General features: G+C 48.3%; 1 protein-coding gene and 1 long non-coding RNA gene across 24 annotated transcripts in view; one reads left to right on the top strand and one right to left on the bottom strand.

Moving 5' to 3' along the window:
• The window catches only part of ODF2 (outer dense fiber of sperm tails 2), a 46,108-nt gene that overhangs the window by 18,373 nt on the left and 11,327 nt on the right, over positions 1–16,408 (top strand). For all 23 annotated transcript variants that reach the window (NM_001351584.2, NM_153436.2, NM_001351577.1 and 20 more), the window contains 7 exon segments: positions 53–184; positions 8,023–8,094; positions 9,259–9,330; positions 10,381–10,497; positions 11,144–11,329; positions 11,808–11,917; positions 14,333–14,468. In NM_001351584.2, coding sequence (NP_001338513.1) covers positions 53–184; positions 8,023–8,094; positions 9,259–9,330; positions 10,381–10,497; positions 11,144–11,329; positions 11,808–11,917; positions 14,333–14,468 — 825 coding nt within the window.
• LOC124902281 (uncharacterized) lies at positions 6,656–14,840 on the bottom strand. Its single transcript, XR_007061803.1, has 2 exons — positions 14,286–14,840; positions 6,656–7,259 (listed from the first exon to the last, which is right to left on the bottom strand). It is a non-coding gene; the product is annotated as an uncharacterized LOC124902281 (long non-coding RNA).

Consider the following 16,408-nt stretch of genomic DNA (forward strand, 5'->3'; position numbering starts at 1 on the left):
TGCTTCTTCCCTTCTCCCCCTGCATCTGTAAGACTGGCTACTTGTCTTCCAGGAGAAACAAATGACCTGCACGGACATCAACACCCTGACAAGGCAGAAGGAACTTCTCCTGCAGAAGCTGAGCACATTTGAGGAGACCAACCGCACCCTCCGAGACCTCCTGAGGGAACAGCACTGCAAAGAGGTGAGCTTGGGGCCTGGCTCTTTCCCTCCAGCTCTGCATGCCCATCCTCTCTGAGCCTTTCTCCTTGTCTGTAAAAAGAAAATAAGATTGGTGCCCGACCTGAGAGGTCCTTAGAGAGATGTAATGAAATTGTTCACATGAAGTGCTCAGCACCCAGTAGACAAGTACCATCTTAGATGCCGTTGAATCCAAGCCAGGCAGCACCGGAACAACCTTGAAAGTCAGGAGAGGGGCAGTGGGGGAGTCAGGGAGGGGTTCAGCCCAGGGCATAGAAAAGAGAGTTCCAGACCTGAGCTTTTTGTTCAGTAAGAGAATGATTAATGGCTGGCAGACACAAATCGTGTGGTCTCATTTTGTTTTCTTAAAATATGTTCTCTGAGGGTGGGCATGGTGGATCACTTGAGGTCAGGAGTTCGAGAACAGCCTGGCCAACATAGTGAAACTCCATCTCTACTAAAAATACAAAAATTAGGCTGAGCGCGGTGGATCATGCCTGTAATCCCAGCACTTTGGGAGGCCGAGGAGGGTGGATCACGAGGTCAGAAGTTCAAGACCAGCCTCGCCAACAGAGTGAAACTCCATCTACTAAAAAAATACAAAAATTAGCCAGGTGTGGTGGCGTGCACCTGTAATCCCAGCTACTCTGGAGGTTGAGGCAGGAGAATTGCTTGAACCTGGGAGGCGGAGGTTGCGGTGAGCTGAGATCGCGTCACTGCACTCTAGCCTGGGCGACAGAGCGAGATTCCATCTTGGGGAAAAAAAAAAATTAGTCAGCCAGGTGTGGTGGCAGGCGCCAGTAATCTCAGCTCCTCAGGAGGCTGAGGCAGGAGAATTGTTTGAACCCAGGAGGCAGAGGTTGCAGTGAGCTGAGATTGTGCCACTGCACTCCAGCCTCAGCGACAGAGCGAGACTCCATCTAAAAAAAAAAAAACATGTCTGGGCCAGGTGCGGTGGCTCATGCCTGTAATCCCAGCCTTTGGGAGGCCGAGGCGGGCGGATCACCTGAGGTCAGGAGTTCGAGACCTGCTTGGCCAACGTGGTGAAACCCCATCTCTACTTGAAAAATACAAAAATGAGCCTGGCCTGGTGGCAGGTGCCTGTAATCCCAGCTACTCAGGAGGCTAAGGTAGGAGAATCACTTGAACCTGGGAGGCGGAGGTTGCAGTGAGCCGAGATTGTGCCATTGCACTCCAGCCTGGGGAACAAGAGCAAGACTTTGTCTGAAAAAAAAAAAAAGTTGTCTGAACTTTATATGTTAGCAAATATAGTCGACCCTCTGTATCTGTGGGTTCTGCATTCGTGGATTCAGCCAACCTTGGATTGAAGATATTTGGAAAAAATTACATATTTACTGAACACCTATAGACTTTTTCTTGATATTATCCCCTGAATCATATAACAACTATTTACATAGCATTTACCTTGTATGAGGTATTATAAATAATCTAGAGATGATTTAAAGTATATGGGAGGAGGTACACAAGTATATACAAATACTGTGCCATTTTATATCAGGGACTTGAGCATCTTTGGATTTTGGTATCCACAGAATGTCCTGGAACCAGTCCTCCATGAATACCAAGGGATGACTGTAGTTCTTTTCTTATTTTGATAGTCAAATAAAAATTAATGATGTACAACATGTTTTGACATACGTACACAATATAGAATGGCTAAGTCAAGTTAATCAACATATGCATTGCCTCACATACTAAGATATTTGTGGTGAAAACACTTAAAATTATCTCTTAGCAATTTTCAAGTATACACATCAGTAACTATAGTCACCATGTTGAACAATTTCTCCTTGTCTAATTGAAATCTTATATCCTTGACCAATATTTCCCCAATGCCCCCCAGTTCCATCTCTGGCAACCAGCATTCTGCTTCTGTGAGTTCGACTTCTTTTTTTTTTCTTTTTTGAGATGGAGTCTTGCTCTGTCGCCCAGGTTGGAGTACAGTGGCGCGATCTCTGTTCACTGCAACCTCCGCCTCCCGGTTTCAAGTGATTCTCCTGCCTCAGCCTCCTGAGTAGCTGGGACTACAAGCGTGCACCACCATGCCCGGCTAATTTTTGTATTTTTAGTAGACACAGGGTTTCACCATGTTGGCCAGGATGGTCTCGATCTCTTGACCTTGTGATCCGCTCACCTCAGCCTCCCAAAGTGCTGGGATTACAGGGGTAAGCCACCGCGCCCGGCCGAGTTCAACTTCTTTAGGTTCCACATATAAATGAAGTCATGTGGTCTTTCTGGGCCTAGCTTATTTCACTGAGTATAATATCCTCTAGTTTTGTGCATGTTGTGAAAGGATTTCCTTTTTGAAGGCTCAGTAGTATTCCATTGTGTATCTCTACTGCGTTTTCTTCATTCATCTGTTGATGGACACTTAGGTTGATTCCGTATCTTGGCTATTGTGAATGATGATATATTAGCAAATATTGCAGAAAAGACTGACAGTATAAATGGTTGTCTCCTGCTTGGTTCTAAGCAAAGAGATGACAATAGTCTCAAAATGCCAGTGCTAATGAAATGGTGACGTTCTTCTTATTTTTGCTTTTTTATTTGAGACCGAGTTTCACTCTTGCCCAGGCTGGAGTGCAATGGCACAGTCTTGGCTCACTGTAACCTCCACCTCCTGGGTTCAAGTGATTTTCCTGTCTCAGCCTCCCTAGTAGCTGGGATTACAGGTGCATGCCACCACACCGGGCTACTTTTTGTAGTTTTAGTAGAGACGGGGTTTCATCATATTGGTCAGGCTGGTCTCGAACTCCTGACCTCAGGTGATCCACCTGCCTCGGCCTCCCAAAGTGCTGTAATTACAGGCGTGAGCCACCACACCAAGCCCTGTTTTTTTGTTTGTTTCGTTTTGTTTTAACATTGTCAACCTTGTTTTTATCTTTTTTTTTTTTCTTGAGACAGAGTCTTGCTCTGTCGCCCAGGCTAGAGTGCAGTGGCACGATATCGGCTCACTGCAACTTCTGGCCTCCCGAGTTCAAGTGATTCTCCTGCCTCAGCCTCCTGAGTAGCTGGGATTACAGGTGCGTGCCACCATGCCCAGCTAATTTTTGTATTTTTAGTAGAGATGAGGTTTCACTGTGTTGCTCAGGCTGGTCTCGAACTCCTAAACTCAGGCAATCTGCCCACCTCAGCCTCCCAAAATGCTGGGATTACAGGCATGAGCCACCGCGCCCGGCCTTATCTTTAAAAATTAATATATTGGCCGGGTGCAGTGGCTCATGCCTGTAATCCCAGCACTTTGAGAGGCCAAGGCAGGTGGAACACTTGAGGTCAGGAGTTCGAGACCAGCCTGGCCAACATGGTGACACCCCACCTCTACTGAAAATACAAAAATGTGATGGGTACCCGTAATATCAACTACTCGGGAGGCTGAGGCAGGAGAATTGCTTGAACCCAGGAGGGGGGAAGTTGCAGTGAGCCTAGATTGCACCACTATACTCCAGCCTGGGTGACAGAGCGAGACTCTGTCTCAAAAAAAAAAAAAACCTGTTAATATATAAAATAAGGCCAAGTGTGGTGGCTCACGCCTGTAATTCCCACACTCTGGGAGGCCGAGGTGGGAGAATTGCTTGAGGCCAGGAGTTTGAGACCAGCCGGGGCAACACAGTGAGACTTCATCTGTACAAAACATTTTAAATTTAGCCAGGTGTGGTGGCACACACCTATAGTCCTAGCTACTCGGGAGGCTGAGGTGGGAGGATTGCTTGAGCCCTGGAGGTCAAGGCTACAGTGAGCTGAGATTGTGTCACTCACTCAGGCTGAGTGACAGAGTTAGACTGTCCCCCCAAAAAATTATATATATATATAACAAGTAATGTAAAGTGGTATCCTCACTGCCCAGCTTTTTTTTTTCTTTTTTTTTGAGACGGAGTCTCGCTCTGTCACCGAGGCTGGAGTGCAGTGGCGCAATCTCAGCTCACTGCAACCTTCCCCTCACGGGTTCAAGAGATTCTCCTGCCTCAGCCTCCCAAGCAGCTGGGATTACAGGTGCCACTCCCGGCTAATTTTTGTATTTTTAGTTGAGACGGGGTTTCACCATGTTGTCCAGCCTGGTCTCAAACTCCTGACCTCAGGTAATCCACCCGCCTCAGCCTCCCAAAGTGCTGGGATTACAGGGGTGAGCCATTGTGCCCGGCCACTCACCGCCCAGCTTTTAAAATAAGTGTCTACATAGTTGATTCCCTTTTGTGTGTCATTTTGCAATAACCTTGTCTCCCTCCCCTCAGAGGGAAGCTTTATTAATTTTTTTGTTTGTTTTGATACAGAGTCTCACTCTGTCACCCAGGCTGAAGTGGCACAATCTCAGCTCACTGCAGCCTCTACCTCCTGGGTTCAAGCGATTCTCCTGCCTCAACTTCCTGAGTAGCTGGGATTACAGGTGTGCATCACCACACCTGGCTAATTTTTTGTATTTTTAGTAAAGATAGGGTTTTGCTGTGTTGGCCAGGCTGGTCTTGAACGCCTGACCTCAAGTGATCTGTCTGCCTCGGCTTCTGAAATTGTTGCACTCCAGCCTGGATGACAGAGCCAGACACTATCTCAAAAAGGAAAGAAAGCCAGGCATGGCGGCTCACGCCTGTGATCCTAGCACTTTGGGAGGCCGAGGTGGGCAGATTGCCTGAGCTCAGGAATTTGAGACCAGCCTGGGCAACACGGTGAAATCCCATCTCTACTAAAATACAAAAAAATGAGCTGGCATGGCGGTACGCTCCTGTAGTCCCAGTTACTCAGGAGGCTGAGGCAGGAGAATCGCTTGAACCCGGGAGGCAGAGGTTACAGTGAGCCAAGATCATGCCACTGCACTCCAGCCTGGGTGACAGAGTGAGACTCCATCTCAAAAAGGAAAAAAAAAAAAAGCCTCTTGCTCTAGCCAGTTTTCTCCTTTTTTGGTTTCTTAGCTTCTGTCATCCTGGAGTCCCATCTTCAATTGGAGATGAAGGGTCAGCTAATTTGAATTCCCACCCAAAAGTGGTGTTTTGTGCTTTGTCCAGGCTCAGCTCCTTGGTGCCCATCTGTGCTCAGGGCTCCCTCACCATCTCGGTGCTTGCTGGGTAGTGCTCAGTGTGGTGGGGAACTGCTCTGGTTCTGGAGTCCGAGTCGGCTCCAGGGCCCAGTACTACCCCTTCCAGCTGTGTGGCCTCACTTGCCTTCACTTCTCCCAGCCTTAGTCTCCTCCTCTGAGATGGGGGTAGTGATAGTGCATGGCTCTTAGAGTAGGGGGCTTTGGTGAGTTCATGCACATAGGATGGCAGAAGAGTTGGTCAGTGGTTTCAGTGCCCCAGGGGAGGCCTGGAGGGCAGTGAGAACAGCCTCAGGTTCTGCATCCGTGGCCAAGCCTTCTGTCCCAGGTTCTTTGCCTCTTGTTGCCAGAGAAACCATAATACTGTCTTTTATCAGTTCCTAGGTGCCCAGGAAACTTTGGGAACCAGAGAGCCCTTTTCTCTGGGCTTATGAAGGGGATCTGTGGGTCTGAGAGGGAAAGAGGGTGAACAAGATGTCCCTCCCTCAAGGGATACTTTGTTCAGGTGCCAAAGAAAAATAGGGACAGTCACAAAGACATAGCCCAGTGAGAAAATGGGCCAGGGCAGGAGCAGGAAGTTCAGGCAAGAGGAGACCCAAATGGCTCATATGAGAGGATGCTAATCCTCACTGGTAATTAGAGAAGTGCAAATGAAACCAGCAGGAGTGCTGTTGGCAGATGACTGGCAACAGAGGCAGAGGTTGGCTGCTGCCTGGTACTGGTGAGTGCAGGGAAGTGAGTCCTCCCATGTCCTGCTTGTAGCCCAGTGAATTGGTGCAGGCATTTTGCAGGGCATTTCAGCCACAAATCTCAGACCTTCCGACCTGGCCATTCCTCTTCTTGGTATCATCCCTAGAGAGGCACTTTGTATATGCCCAGCAACGTCTATTGCTGCAGTGTTTGTAGTTGCAAAACATGGGAACAGCCTCATTGTCCAGAGGTTGTGGGGAGAGGTTAAAAATGGCAGTGGCATATTAGAGACACGGAGAGGTTCCACATGCCATGGCATATTAGAGACAGAAAGCAGATCAGTGGTTGCTAGGGGCAGGAGTGGGAGGGAATGGGAATGGCTGCTTAATGGTACAGGGTTTCTTTTTTGGGTGATGAAAATGTTGTGGAGCTAGATAATGGTGATGGTTGTACAGTATTATGAATATACTAAATGCCACTGAATTTTACGCTTAAAAATGGTTAGCCAGGTGTGGTGGCACACACCTGTGGTCCCAGCTACTGAGGAGGCTGAGGTGGGAGGATCACTTGAGTCCAGGATATCAAGGTTGCAGTGAGCTATGATCCATGATTACAACATGCACTCCAGCTTGGGTGACAGAGCTAGACTGTGTCTCTAAAAGAAATAAAAAGGTTAAAATGACAAGTTTTATGTTACATATATTTTACCACAATTTTTAAAAGTTAATAATGGAATATACCAAAGCCATTTAATTGTATACTTTATTTTTTCTTCTAGCTTTATTGAGGTATATTTGACAAACAGAAGTAGTATACATTTTAAGATGTTCATCGTGATGATTTGATACCCATATACATTGTAAAGTGACCACCTCAATCAAGCTGATTAACACATCCATCACGTCACATGGTTACCTTTTTGTGTGTGTGTGGTGACAACACTTAAGATCTCCTAGCAGATTTCAAGTATATAATACATCATTAATTATAGTCACCATGCTGTACACTTTAAATGGTGTTCAAATTTATATCTCAATAAAGCTGTTTTTAAAAATCAAGTAACAGCTGGGCATGGTGGCTCACGCCTGTAATCCCAGCACTTTGGGAGGCCAAGGCGGGCAGATCACCTGAGGTCAGGAGTTTGAGACCAGCCTGGCTAACATGGTGAAACCCTGTCTCTGCTAAAAATACAAAAATTAGCCGGGCGTGGTGGCAGTTATCTGTAATCCCAGCTACTCGGGAGGCTGAGGCAGGAGAATCGCTTGAACCTGGGAGGCAGAGGTTGCAGTGAGCCGAGATCGTGCCATCGCACTCCAGCCTGGGGGACAAGAGCGAGACTTCCTCTCTAAAAAATAAAAAAAATTAAAAAAAATTAACACATAAATACAATATGATATTATTTTCCTAAAGTTACACATGAATCCCTTTCCCCTTCCCCCAGAGACAAACAGTATTTCTCTTGATGCAGCAAAATGCTGTTTCATTACAGAGAAACAGTATTTCAATACAGTATTCTGTACAGTATTTTCAATACAGAGAAATACAGTATTTCTCTGTAGATGTAGAGAAAAAGGATGGGAAGGATACTCCTCAAACTAATAGCAGTAGGGTAGGGTTTGGAGGTGGGTACAGGAGGAACTGTAGCTTTATTAGCATTCACTATTTTATAGTGAGAATATATTCACATTACTTTTCAAATTAGAACTACAGTTTTTTGGGCCAGGTGTGGTGGCTCACACCTGTAATCCCAGCACTTGGGGAGGCCAAAGCAGGCAGATTGTTTGAACCCAGGAGTTCAAGACCAGCCTGGGCAAACAGGGAGACCCTCCAACTCTACAAATAATAATAATGTTTAAAAAGTTGGGCATGGTAGTGCATGCTTGTTGTTCCAGCTACTTTGGAGGCTGAGATGGGAGGATGGCTTGAGCCCAGAAGGACCAGGCTGCAGTGAGCCATGATTGCACCACTGCACTCCAGCCTGGGCAACAGAGTAAGACTCTAAAAAAAAAAAAAAATACAATTTTTGGAAAAGGTAAAGAATCAATAAAATGTAGACATCTGGGTTTATTGCTTAATGACTTGACTTTTTCCTTTGCCTTTCTTTGAAGGATTCTGAAAGACTAATGGAGCAACAAGGAGCACTGCTGAAACGGCTGGCGGAGGCCGACTCAGAGAAAGCGGTAACTAAGGCTGCCCTTGTCTACTCTAGTGGGTACAGGTGGCAAGAGCGTCGTTCCACTACAAAGTGTAGAGGTGCTTGGATCAAGGCAGGAGGGCTGGAGCATTTCGCTAGGTCTTAGTTTCACGATCTGTAAAATGGGCTGATGTCCTCCTGTCACGCTTGTTCTGATAGGCTTGTCTAGTTAGTTACTTGAGACCTTGAGCCACAAAGCTGGACACCAACATAGAGAGGGTAATGATGATGTTGGATTTGTAAATCATCCGTGTCTGTTAAAGCTGGATTTCCATCAAATTAGTATTATGGATTCAAAGCCATCAAAAAGTACACACCTTTGGACTCAGTAATCCTAATTCTAGGAATCTCTCCCAAAGCAGCATGTTCCAAAGTCTGTTCATGGAACCCTAAGTTCCTCAAGATGTTAATGAGTGCAAGAAACCGAAGGGGAGGTTCCATAGCCAGTTAAATTTGGGAAACCATAGGCTGGCCTGAACATGAAGTTCAACAGCTTCTTTCAAGACTTTTTTGGAGTGTCTGCTGTATTAATGCTTTTGTAAGTCTCCAAGAGAGGGGAGGGAGACGGAGGCCCAGTTTCCCAAGGTGTGGTCTGTGGCCTCTGATGCTTAGTTGAGGAAGGAGTGGAGATGCAGCAAGCTCGGCGATAATGCCTAAATGTGCATTCCCAGCTCAAGAACCCTTGTTAAGTTATGATATACATCAGTAACTTGAACCGTCAAGCAGCTCTTTCAAAAGACACAGAAGATTTAATCACATTATGGTAAACATGAGCTTTTAGGCTATGGAACGAAGTAGGCATATGACTTTTTTTTTTTAACGGTGCTGAGCATATGAGTTTCAATGTGCATTAACTGGTTATCTCTGCATGGGGGGTTACGGGGTTTCTTTGGAGGATTTTTTTGGTGTGTTCTCAATGTTTTCTACAGTTAACATTGCTGTTCTTAAATTGCAAAATAAATACATGTTCATTGTTTTAAAAAAATGTTTTAATGCATATGTTAGGTGCTTCCTACCAGAATCTCTGACATGGGCCAATGTATGTAGGACCTTGGGCCCCAGTGGCCAGGTACTCACAAATCTCTGTCCTCCCTGGGCCGGGCCTCTTTGCCCTTCCCAGGGGCACCTGACAGCCTGTGTTCTCTCCCAGCGCCTGCTGTTACTGCTGCAAGACAAGGACAAGGAGGTGGAAGAGCTCCTTCAGGAAATACAATGTGAGAAGGTAGTGTGCTTTTTTTTTTTTTTTTTTTAGACGGAGTCTCGCTCTGTCGCCAGGCTGGAGTGCAATGGCGCGATCTCAGCTCGCTGCAACCTCTGCCTCCCGGATTTGAGTGATTCTCCTGCCTCAGCCTCCCGAGTAGCTGGGACTACAGGCGTGCGCCACCACGCCCAGCTAATTTTTGTATTTTTAGTAGAGACGGGGTTTCACCATGTTGGCCAGGATGGTCTTGATCTCTTGACCTCGTGATCTGCCTGCCTCGGCCTCCCAAAGTGCTGGATTACAGGCATGAGCCACTGCGCCCAGCCGCAGTTGTGCATTTTTATGAGCCAGTAGAATATAATGGATATGCAGAGAGCTGGGTTCAAATCCTGTCTTTGGGCCGGGTGCAGTAGCTCATGTCTGGCACTTTTTCGAGACCAGCCTAGGCCACTCCCTAGCACTTTGGGAGGCCAATGCAGGAGGACTCATTGAGGCCAGGAGTTTGAGACTGTCCTGGGCAACACAGGGAGACCCCATCTCTACAAAATTAAAATTAAAATTAAAAAATCAGCCAGGTGTGGTGGCATGCACCTGTAGTTCCAGCTACTCTGGATGCTGAGATGGGAGGATCACTTGAGCCTGGGAGACTGAGGCTGCAATGAGTCATGGTCACGCCACTGCACTCCAGCCTTGGCAACAGTGATACCCTGTCTCAAAAAAAAAAAAAAAAATTATTGACCATGCGCGGTGGCTCACGCCTGTAATCCCAGCACTTTGGGAGGCCGAGGCAGGTGGATCACTTGAGGTCAGGAGATCGAGACCAGTCTGGCCAACATGGTGAAACCCTGTCTCTACTAAAAATACAAAAAACTAGCCGGTTTTGATGGCACGTGACTGTAACCCCAGCTACTCAGGAGGCTGAGGCGGGAGAATCGCTGGAGCCCAAGAGGTGGAGGTTGCAGTGAGCTGAGATTGCGCCACTGCACTCCAGCCTGGGAAACGGAGCAAGACTCCGTATGAAAAAAACAAACAAAAAATTGTGCCTCCATCACTTTTTCCGTCTCTCCACAGGCTCAAGCAAAGACAGCCTCTGAGCTTTCTAAATCCATGGAGTCCATGCGTGGGCATTTGCAGGCACAGCTTCGGTCCAAAGAGGCTGAGAACAGTCGCCTGTGCATGCAGATTAAGGTACCTATTGGCCCCACAAGTGGGGAAAGAGGAGGCAAGGGCCTGCCAATTTGATGGTAGCGGCCTGGCCCAGATATCACACTCAGGAAGTGTGCCTCCAAAGGTTTCTGAGGCAGCTGATGACAAAATACTCAGGCCTCAGAGACATTCCAGGACAGTGGCAAGAGCAATGGACAGAGACCCAGGAGGTGTTGGGCATCCTTCCCAACAGTGACGGGGTTGCGTGCCATGCCCCCCAGGCCTATCACTTAATCCCCTAGGCCCTCAGTTCTCCTCATTACCCAAGGGAAAGGGATGGTCTCTTTGTAGCCCAGGGGTCCTCTGAGGTCATACTCTGCTGAGTGACCAAGGAACTATCTCTGACCACAAGGCTGGGAGTTCAGGGAAGGATTCCAGAGCAGTTCTGACCTAATATCAAGACCCCATGGGCTGAGAGATCCAGGGAGGTGTCGTGGGGAGCTGGGAGGGACTGTGTCTCTGGTCCGAGTTAGGGGAGCCTCTCACACAGCTAAGCACTTTTTTCTGTCTTCCTCGTTTCCTCTTTGCTCTTGCCTTTTCCTCCCTTTCTCCTTCACCCTCTGCTTTGCCTTCCCACAACCTCCTTGTCTCTCTTCTCCCTCTCTTTCTCACCCCTTCCCCCTTCCAGAATCTGGAGCGCAGCGGGAATCAGCATAAGGCAGAAGTGGAGGCCATCATGGAGCAGCTGAAGGAGTTGAAGCAGAAGGGAGACCGAGACAAAGAGAGCTTGAAGAAGGCCATCCGAGCCCAGAAGGAGCGAGCCGAGAAGAGCGAGGAGTATGCTGAGCAGCTACACGTGCAACTCGCTGACAAGGTCGCAGGCCCGCGGTGCCCAGCTCCTCACCTGCCCTGAGGAGGGCTGGGTGATGGCAGAGGGGTGGTCAGCCAGATGGGTAGCGGGGAGGGGTGGGTGGATGAGGGATGGTAGTGGTGGAAAGGATAGATGGCTGGGGAGGAGGGAGAGGGAGTTAAGGGGATCAAATGGGTAAAAGCTGGAGGGATGGGTGGCTGGAGATGATTGGAGGCTTTGTAGGAGAGTTCAGCCACATCAGCTTTGTGGGTGAGAATAATGGTTAAGGAAGGATTTACAAACAGGATGCATTTGATTGCTAGAAATCTGGGAGCACTAGCTGGGCTCCCACTGTTGCTTCCAGCGCCCTCTAGAAAGGTGAATTCCAGAATGAGGTTTAGGTTACCAGGGTGAGAAACCACCTAGGATGAGCCCGCTCCCAGCTCCTGGCAGCCTCACCACTGACACTAGGCTAACAGGCCCTTTTGTCCCGTGTTCCCAGGATCTTTATGTCGCTGAAGCTTTATCCACTCTGGAATCCTGGAGGAGCCGCTACAACCAAGTTGTAAAAGAAAAGGGAGACCTTGAGCTGGAAATTATTGTCCTGAATGAGTACGTCTTAGAGTAGGAGAGGGAATGTGGCGCTGTTGAGGGACTTGGGTGTGCAGGTGGGAGGGGCCTAGTGGCTCAGGGAAGGCCACGTGGCTGCTGTTTGTACTCTCCGGGTTGGGGGCTGCACTGGGCTGTGATGTGGGTAGCCCTGAGCTGGGCTTTCTGGTTGGAGCTGGGGTGCAAGCTCTGGCCCTAGTCCTGGGGTCCTACCCTACTGTCAGGCACTGGCTAGGGGCCGGGTCTTTCTGGTCAGAGGTGTGGGTCTGACTTCATCACCTGGGCCTGATCCTGTCCTCAGTCTACACAGCATTTGAAATGGGCACCGTGGTGTCCTCATTCCTATTGGGGAATGGGGCAGATGGTGACCCGAGTGTCTTCTCTCTGTTGTCTGTCCAGGGACAGCAGCTGTTTGCCAGTGCCTGCCAGTCAGTAGGTCAGTGGTATGGCATGGGAGTAGGGGGCAAAAGTGGCCTCAATTTGCAAGTGACTGAGCTGACACCTTTCTTGCCACTGGCGAACTGTGAATAGTGACCATTCCATCATTCTCCTTTTTTCCTTCATTTATTGGAAAAACATATATTGAGCATCTACCATATACCAAGCTGCTGTGTGCTGGCCACCAGGGTTACAGCAGTAAGAAGACAAATGCATTCCCTGCCCTCTACTCTGTAGAGGAGATAGGGCTACAAGAGGCATGGACTCCCTGGACTAAGGATAGGTCATGGGGGAGCTCATTTAATCTCCCAGGTCAGGAAAGTCTCTTACTGTATTCAACTCAACTTAGCAAACATGTTCTGAGAACTCACTATGTGCCAGGCTCTATGCCAGCTGCTGTCCTTAGGGAGTTCTCTGTCTAGTGGGAGAACATAGATACCTAAGACAGAAGCATACATGGTACAGGGGAGGGGTCAGGGACAAGATGTCTTGAAGTCTGAACTGGGTTTTTAAGTGTGAGTAGGAGTTTGCCAGGTAAACTGGAGTTGCCAGCAAACTGATATGTTTGCTTGGGCCTAGTCAGTGTTCAGTGGTGGACTGTAATTGGTCAATACTGAGAGCACATATTGTGCAAAGGGTTTTTGATGGGTCTGTGGTCAAGATAGAGGAGTAAGCACCTGTGAGCCCCAGGGCTCCTCTTGAGGCCACAGTCTCTGCTCTTTGACTGATGATGGCCTTGCTGAGTGACTGAGGCAGCAGCAGGGAGCAGAAGGGACTGGGGGTGGGGCAGGCAGCTGGCTTCTAAGTTGGCGTCTTTCTATTTGTGCCTTTTTCCCACACCACACTCATTGCCGTTCCTGCCTGTGTTAGGTGAGTGTTCATATGTGAATGAGCAATCATGGCACCAGCCCCCTGCTGGGGGTACAAAAGCCCAGGGTGCTCAGGGCCCTGCTGGAGAGGAATGCCTGGGTGATAATCCCTGACCACCAGCCTGGGAGTCCAAGAAGGGATTCCAGAAGCGTCTGTCCTAACACCAAGACCTGATAGGCAGAGAGATTCCAGGAGGTGTCATAGGGAGTTGGGAAGGGATCATGTCTCTGGTCCTTGCCTTCAAAGGGTATCTTGGCCTTATGAGAGGATCAAGATGGGTACACATCCCTCTCTCTCTCTCTCTCTTTTTTTTCTTAATGGAGACAAGGTCTTGCTCCTTCACCCAGGCTATAGTGCAGTGGCACCAGCATAGCTCACTGCAACCTTCAACTGCTGGGCTCAAGCAATCCTCCCACCTTGGCCTCCCAAAGCACTGGGATTACAGGTGTGAGCTGCCACACCCAGCCCACACTTCTCTTAATAAGTCATTGCTTATTGTTGAATTGTAGATGGTTTCTTGGAGGGGGAGGTATGGGAGACACATCTTAACGGACGTCGTTCAGAGGTGGGACAGGCATGGGAGTACCACAGCAGCAATGCCAAGGCAGGGCAGCAGAGTTGCTTCTCAGTGTGGAGATTGGGGAGCAGGCAGGCAGTATATTGAGTGATGAGAACGCTGGGTCCCACACCACACAAAGACCTGGGTTCTTTAGAACCTGTGTAATTGGCCGGGTGCGGTGGCTCACACCTGTAATCCCAGCATTTTGGGAGGCCGAGGCGGGCAGATCACGAGGTCAGGAGATCGAGACCATCCTGGCTAACACGGTGAAACCCCGTCTCTACTAAAAATACAAGAACTTAGCCGGGCGTGGCGGTGGGCGCCTGTAGTCCCAGCTACTCGGGAGGCTGAGGCAGGAGAATGGCATGAACACGGGAGGCGGAGCTTGCAGTGAGCCAAGATCGCGCCACTGCACTCCAGCCTAGGTGACAGAGCGAGACTCCGTCTAAAAAAACAAACAAACAAAACACACACACACACACACACACACACACACAAACAAACCTGTGTAATTGATTCTCTCTGTCTGCTTTCACTTTGTGATCTTCCAGCCGGGTAACAGATCTTGTAAACCAACAACAAACCCTGGAGGAGAAGATGCGGGAAGACCGGGATAGCCTGGTGGAGAGACTACACCGTCAGACTGCTGAGTATTCCGCATTCAAGCTGGAGAATGAGAGGCTGAAGGTTCGCAGTGAGAGCTGGGGACCAGGCAGCTGGATGGGGCCCAGCGAGCTGATGAGGGGTCTTGTCTTACGTGGGCCTGGGGGCATCTTGACTAAGAGGGAGTCAGAAAAGCCTGGATTTGACCAGGCATGGTGGCTTAGGCCTGTAATCCCAACACTTTGGGAGGCCAAGGCAGGTGGATCACTTGAGCCTAGTTCGAGACCAGCCTGGGCAACATGGCAAAATCCTGTGTCTGCAAAACATACAAAAAGTAGCCAGGCGTGGAGGCATGCGCCTGTAGTCCCAGCTACTCGGGAGGCTGAGTTGGGAGAATCGCTTGAGCCTGGGAGGTTGAGGCTGTGGTGAGCCGAGATCGCCCCACTGCACTCCAGCCTGGAAAACAGAGAGAGACTCTGTGTCAAAAAAGAAAAGAAAGCCTGGATTCAAGTCCTTACTCTGCTGCTTCCTGGCTGTAGGACCTGAGTGAAAAACATTCCATGCCTCTTCCTTAGGTAGAGGAAATGAGGTCCTTGTGAGAATGTGGTAACGCATGTGAAATGCTTAACATGGTGTACTCAGCCTGCGCACATGAGATAGAACTCATTTGAGGTTAATGTGGGCTCTCCTGGGGGCCTGCTGGGCCCCTTCACAGGCATTAATTCTCACTTAAACTGTCCAACCTGCCAGTAACATGATGATTATCTCCATTTGAAATGAGAATAAGGGGCCGGGCTCACGTCTGTAATCCCAGCACTTTGGGAGGCTGAGGCAGGCGGATCACCTGAGGTCAGGAGTTCAAGACCAGCCTGGCCAACATAGCGAAACCCTGTCTGTACTAAAAATACAAAAAAAATTATCTGGGCATGGTGGTGTGTGCCTGTAATCCCAGCTACTCAGGAGGCTGAGGCAGGAGAATTGCTTGAGCCCAGGAAGTGGAGGTTGCAGTGAGCCGAGATTGCGCCACTGCACTCCAGCCTGGGCAACAGAGCGAAACTCCGTCTCAAAAGAAAAGAAAAGAAATGAGAATAAGGAAACTGAGGCTGAGAGAGAAGTCAAGTGTCTTGCCAAGATTTTGCCCTAGGAAGTATCAGAGTTGAGATTTGAACCCGAGTCTGACTCGAGCCCTAGCTCTTAAACTCACCATACCCACTTCCAGCCTGCCAGGAGTGAGAGGCACCTGAGCAGAGGTTGACATTTCAGAGACAGGTTTTATCTTGCTCTTTTGTTGATCTGGGCAATAACATCTAGCTTTATTTTTTCACTGATTTTGTTTTTTCTTGTTAAGATTGATTTTAAGGAAGAATAACATATGGAAAAGTACACAGATCCTAGAATTTTCATAAAGTGAATATACTTTGTCCATCACTCACTCTGATTGAACCTTGCCTGCACCCTAGTGACCTTTCTTGTTACTAATACCCCTGTAAAGGTAACTGCTAGCCCATCTCCTGTCACCACAAATTAGTTGCCTGCTTTTAACTGTAGAGATTTGAATAGTTTGAATATCCCTGGGCCTGGCGTCTACTCTGCAAGTTTGTTGAGTCAGCCCCATTGTTTGGAGGAGTTTATTCATCCTCAGCGCTCTAGGGTATGTCGTTATATGAACACACCACAGTATATTTGTCCATTCTACTGTCAGTGGACATTTGGGTTTCCATAGTGTTGCTGTGAACATCTTTGTATGTCTTTAGGTGTACACATTTGGTGCGTCTTTATTGTTTATATACCTTGAAGTAGAATTGCCAGGTCATCATGGGGTGTGCATTAAGTCTATATTTGGTAGATGTCACTGAATAGTAAAGTGTGTCACTGAGTAGTAAAGTAGTTACTGGTAGATGTTACTGAATAGTAAAGTAGTTGAACAAATCTCCACACCTGTCAGTGGTGAGTAAAAGGATAACAGTTGCTCCTTGCCTCCTTGGCAACGCTTGGTAGCTTGGTATTGAGTGTCTTATTTTATG

The sequence above is a fragment of the Homo sapiens genome, chromosome 9 (genome assembly GCF_000001405.40).
Source record: "Homo sapiens chromosome 9, GRCh38.p14 Primary Assembly".
In the NCBI taxonomy this organism is placed as follows: domain Eukaryota; kingdom Metazoa; phylum Chordata; class Mammalia; order Primates; family Hominidae; genus Homo; species Homo sapiens.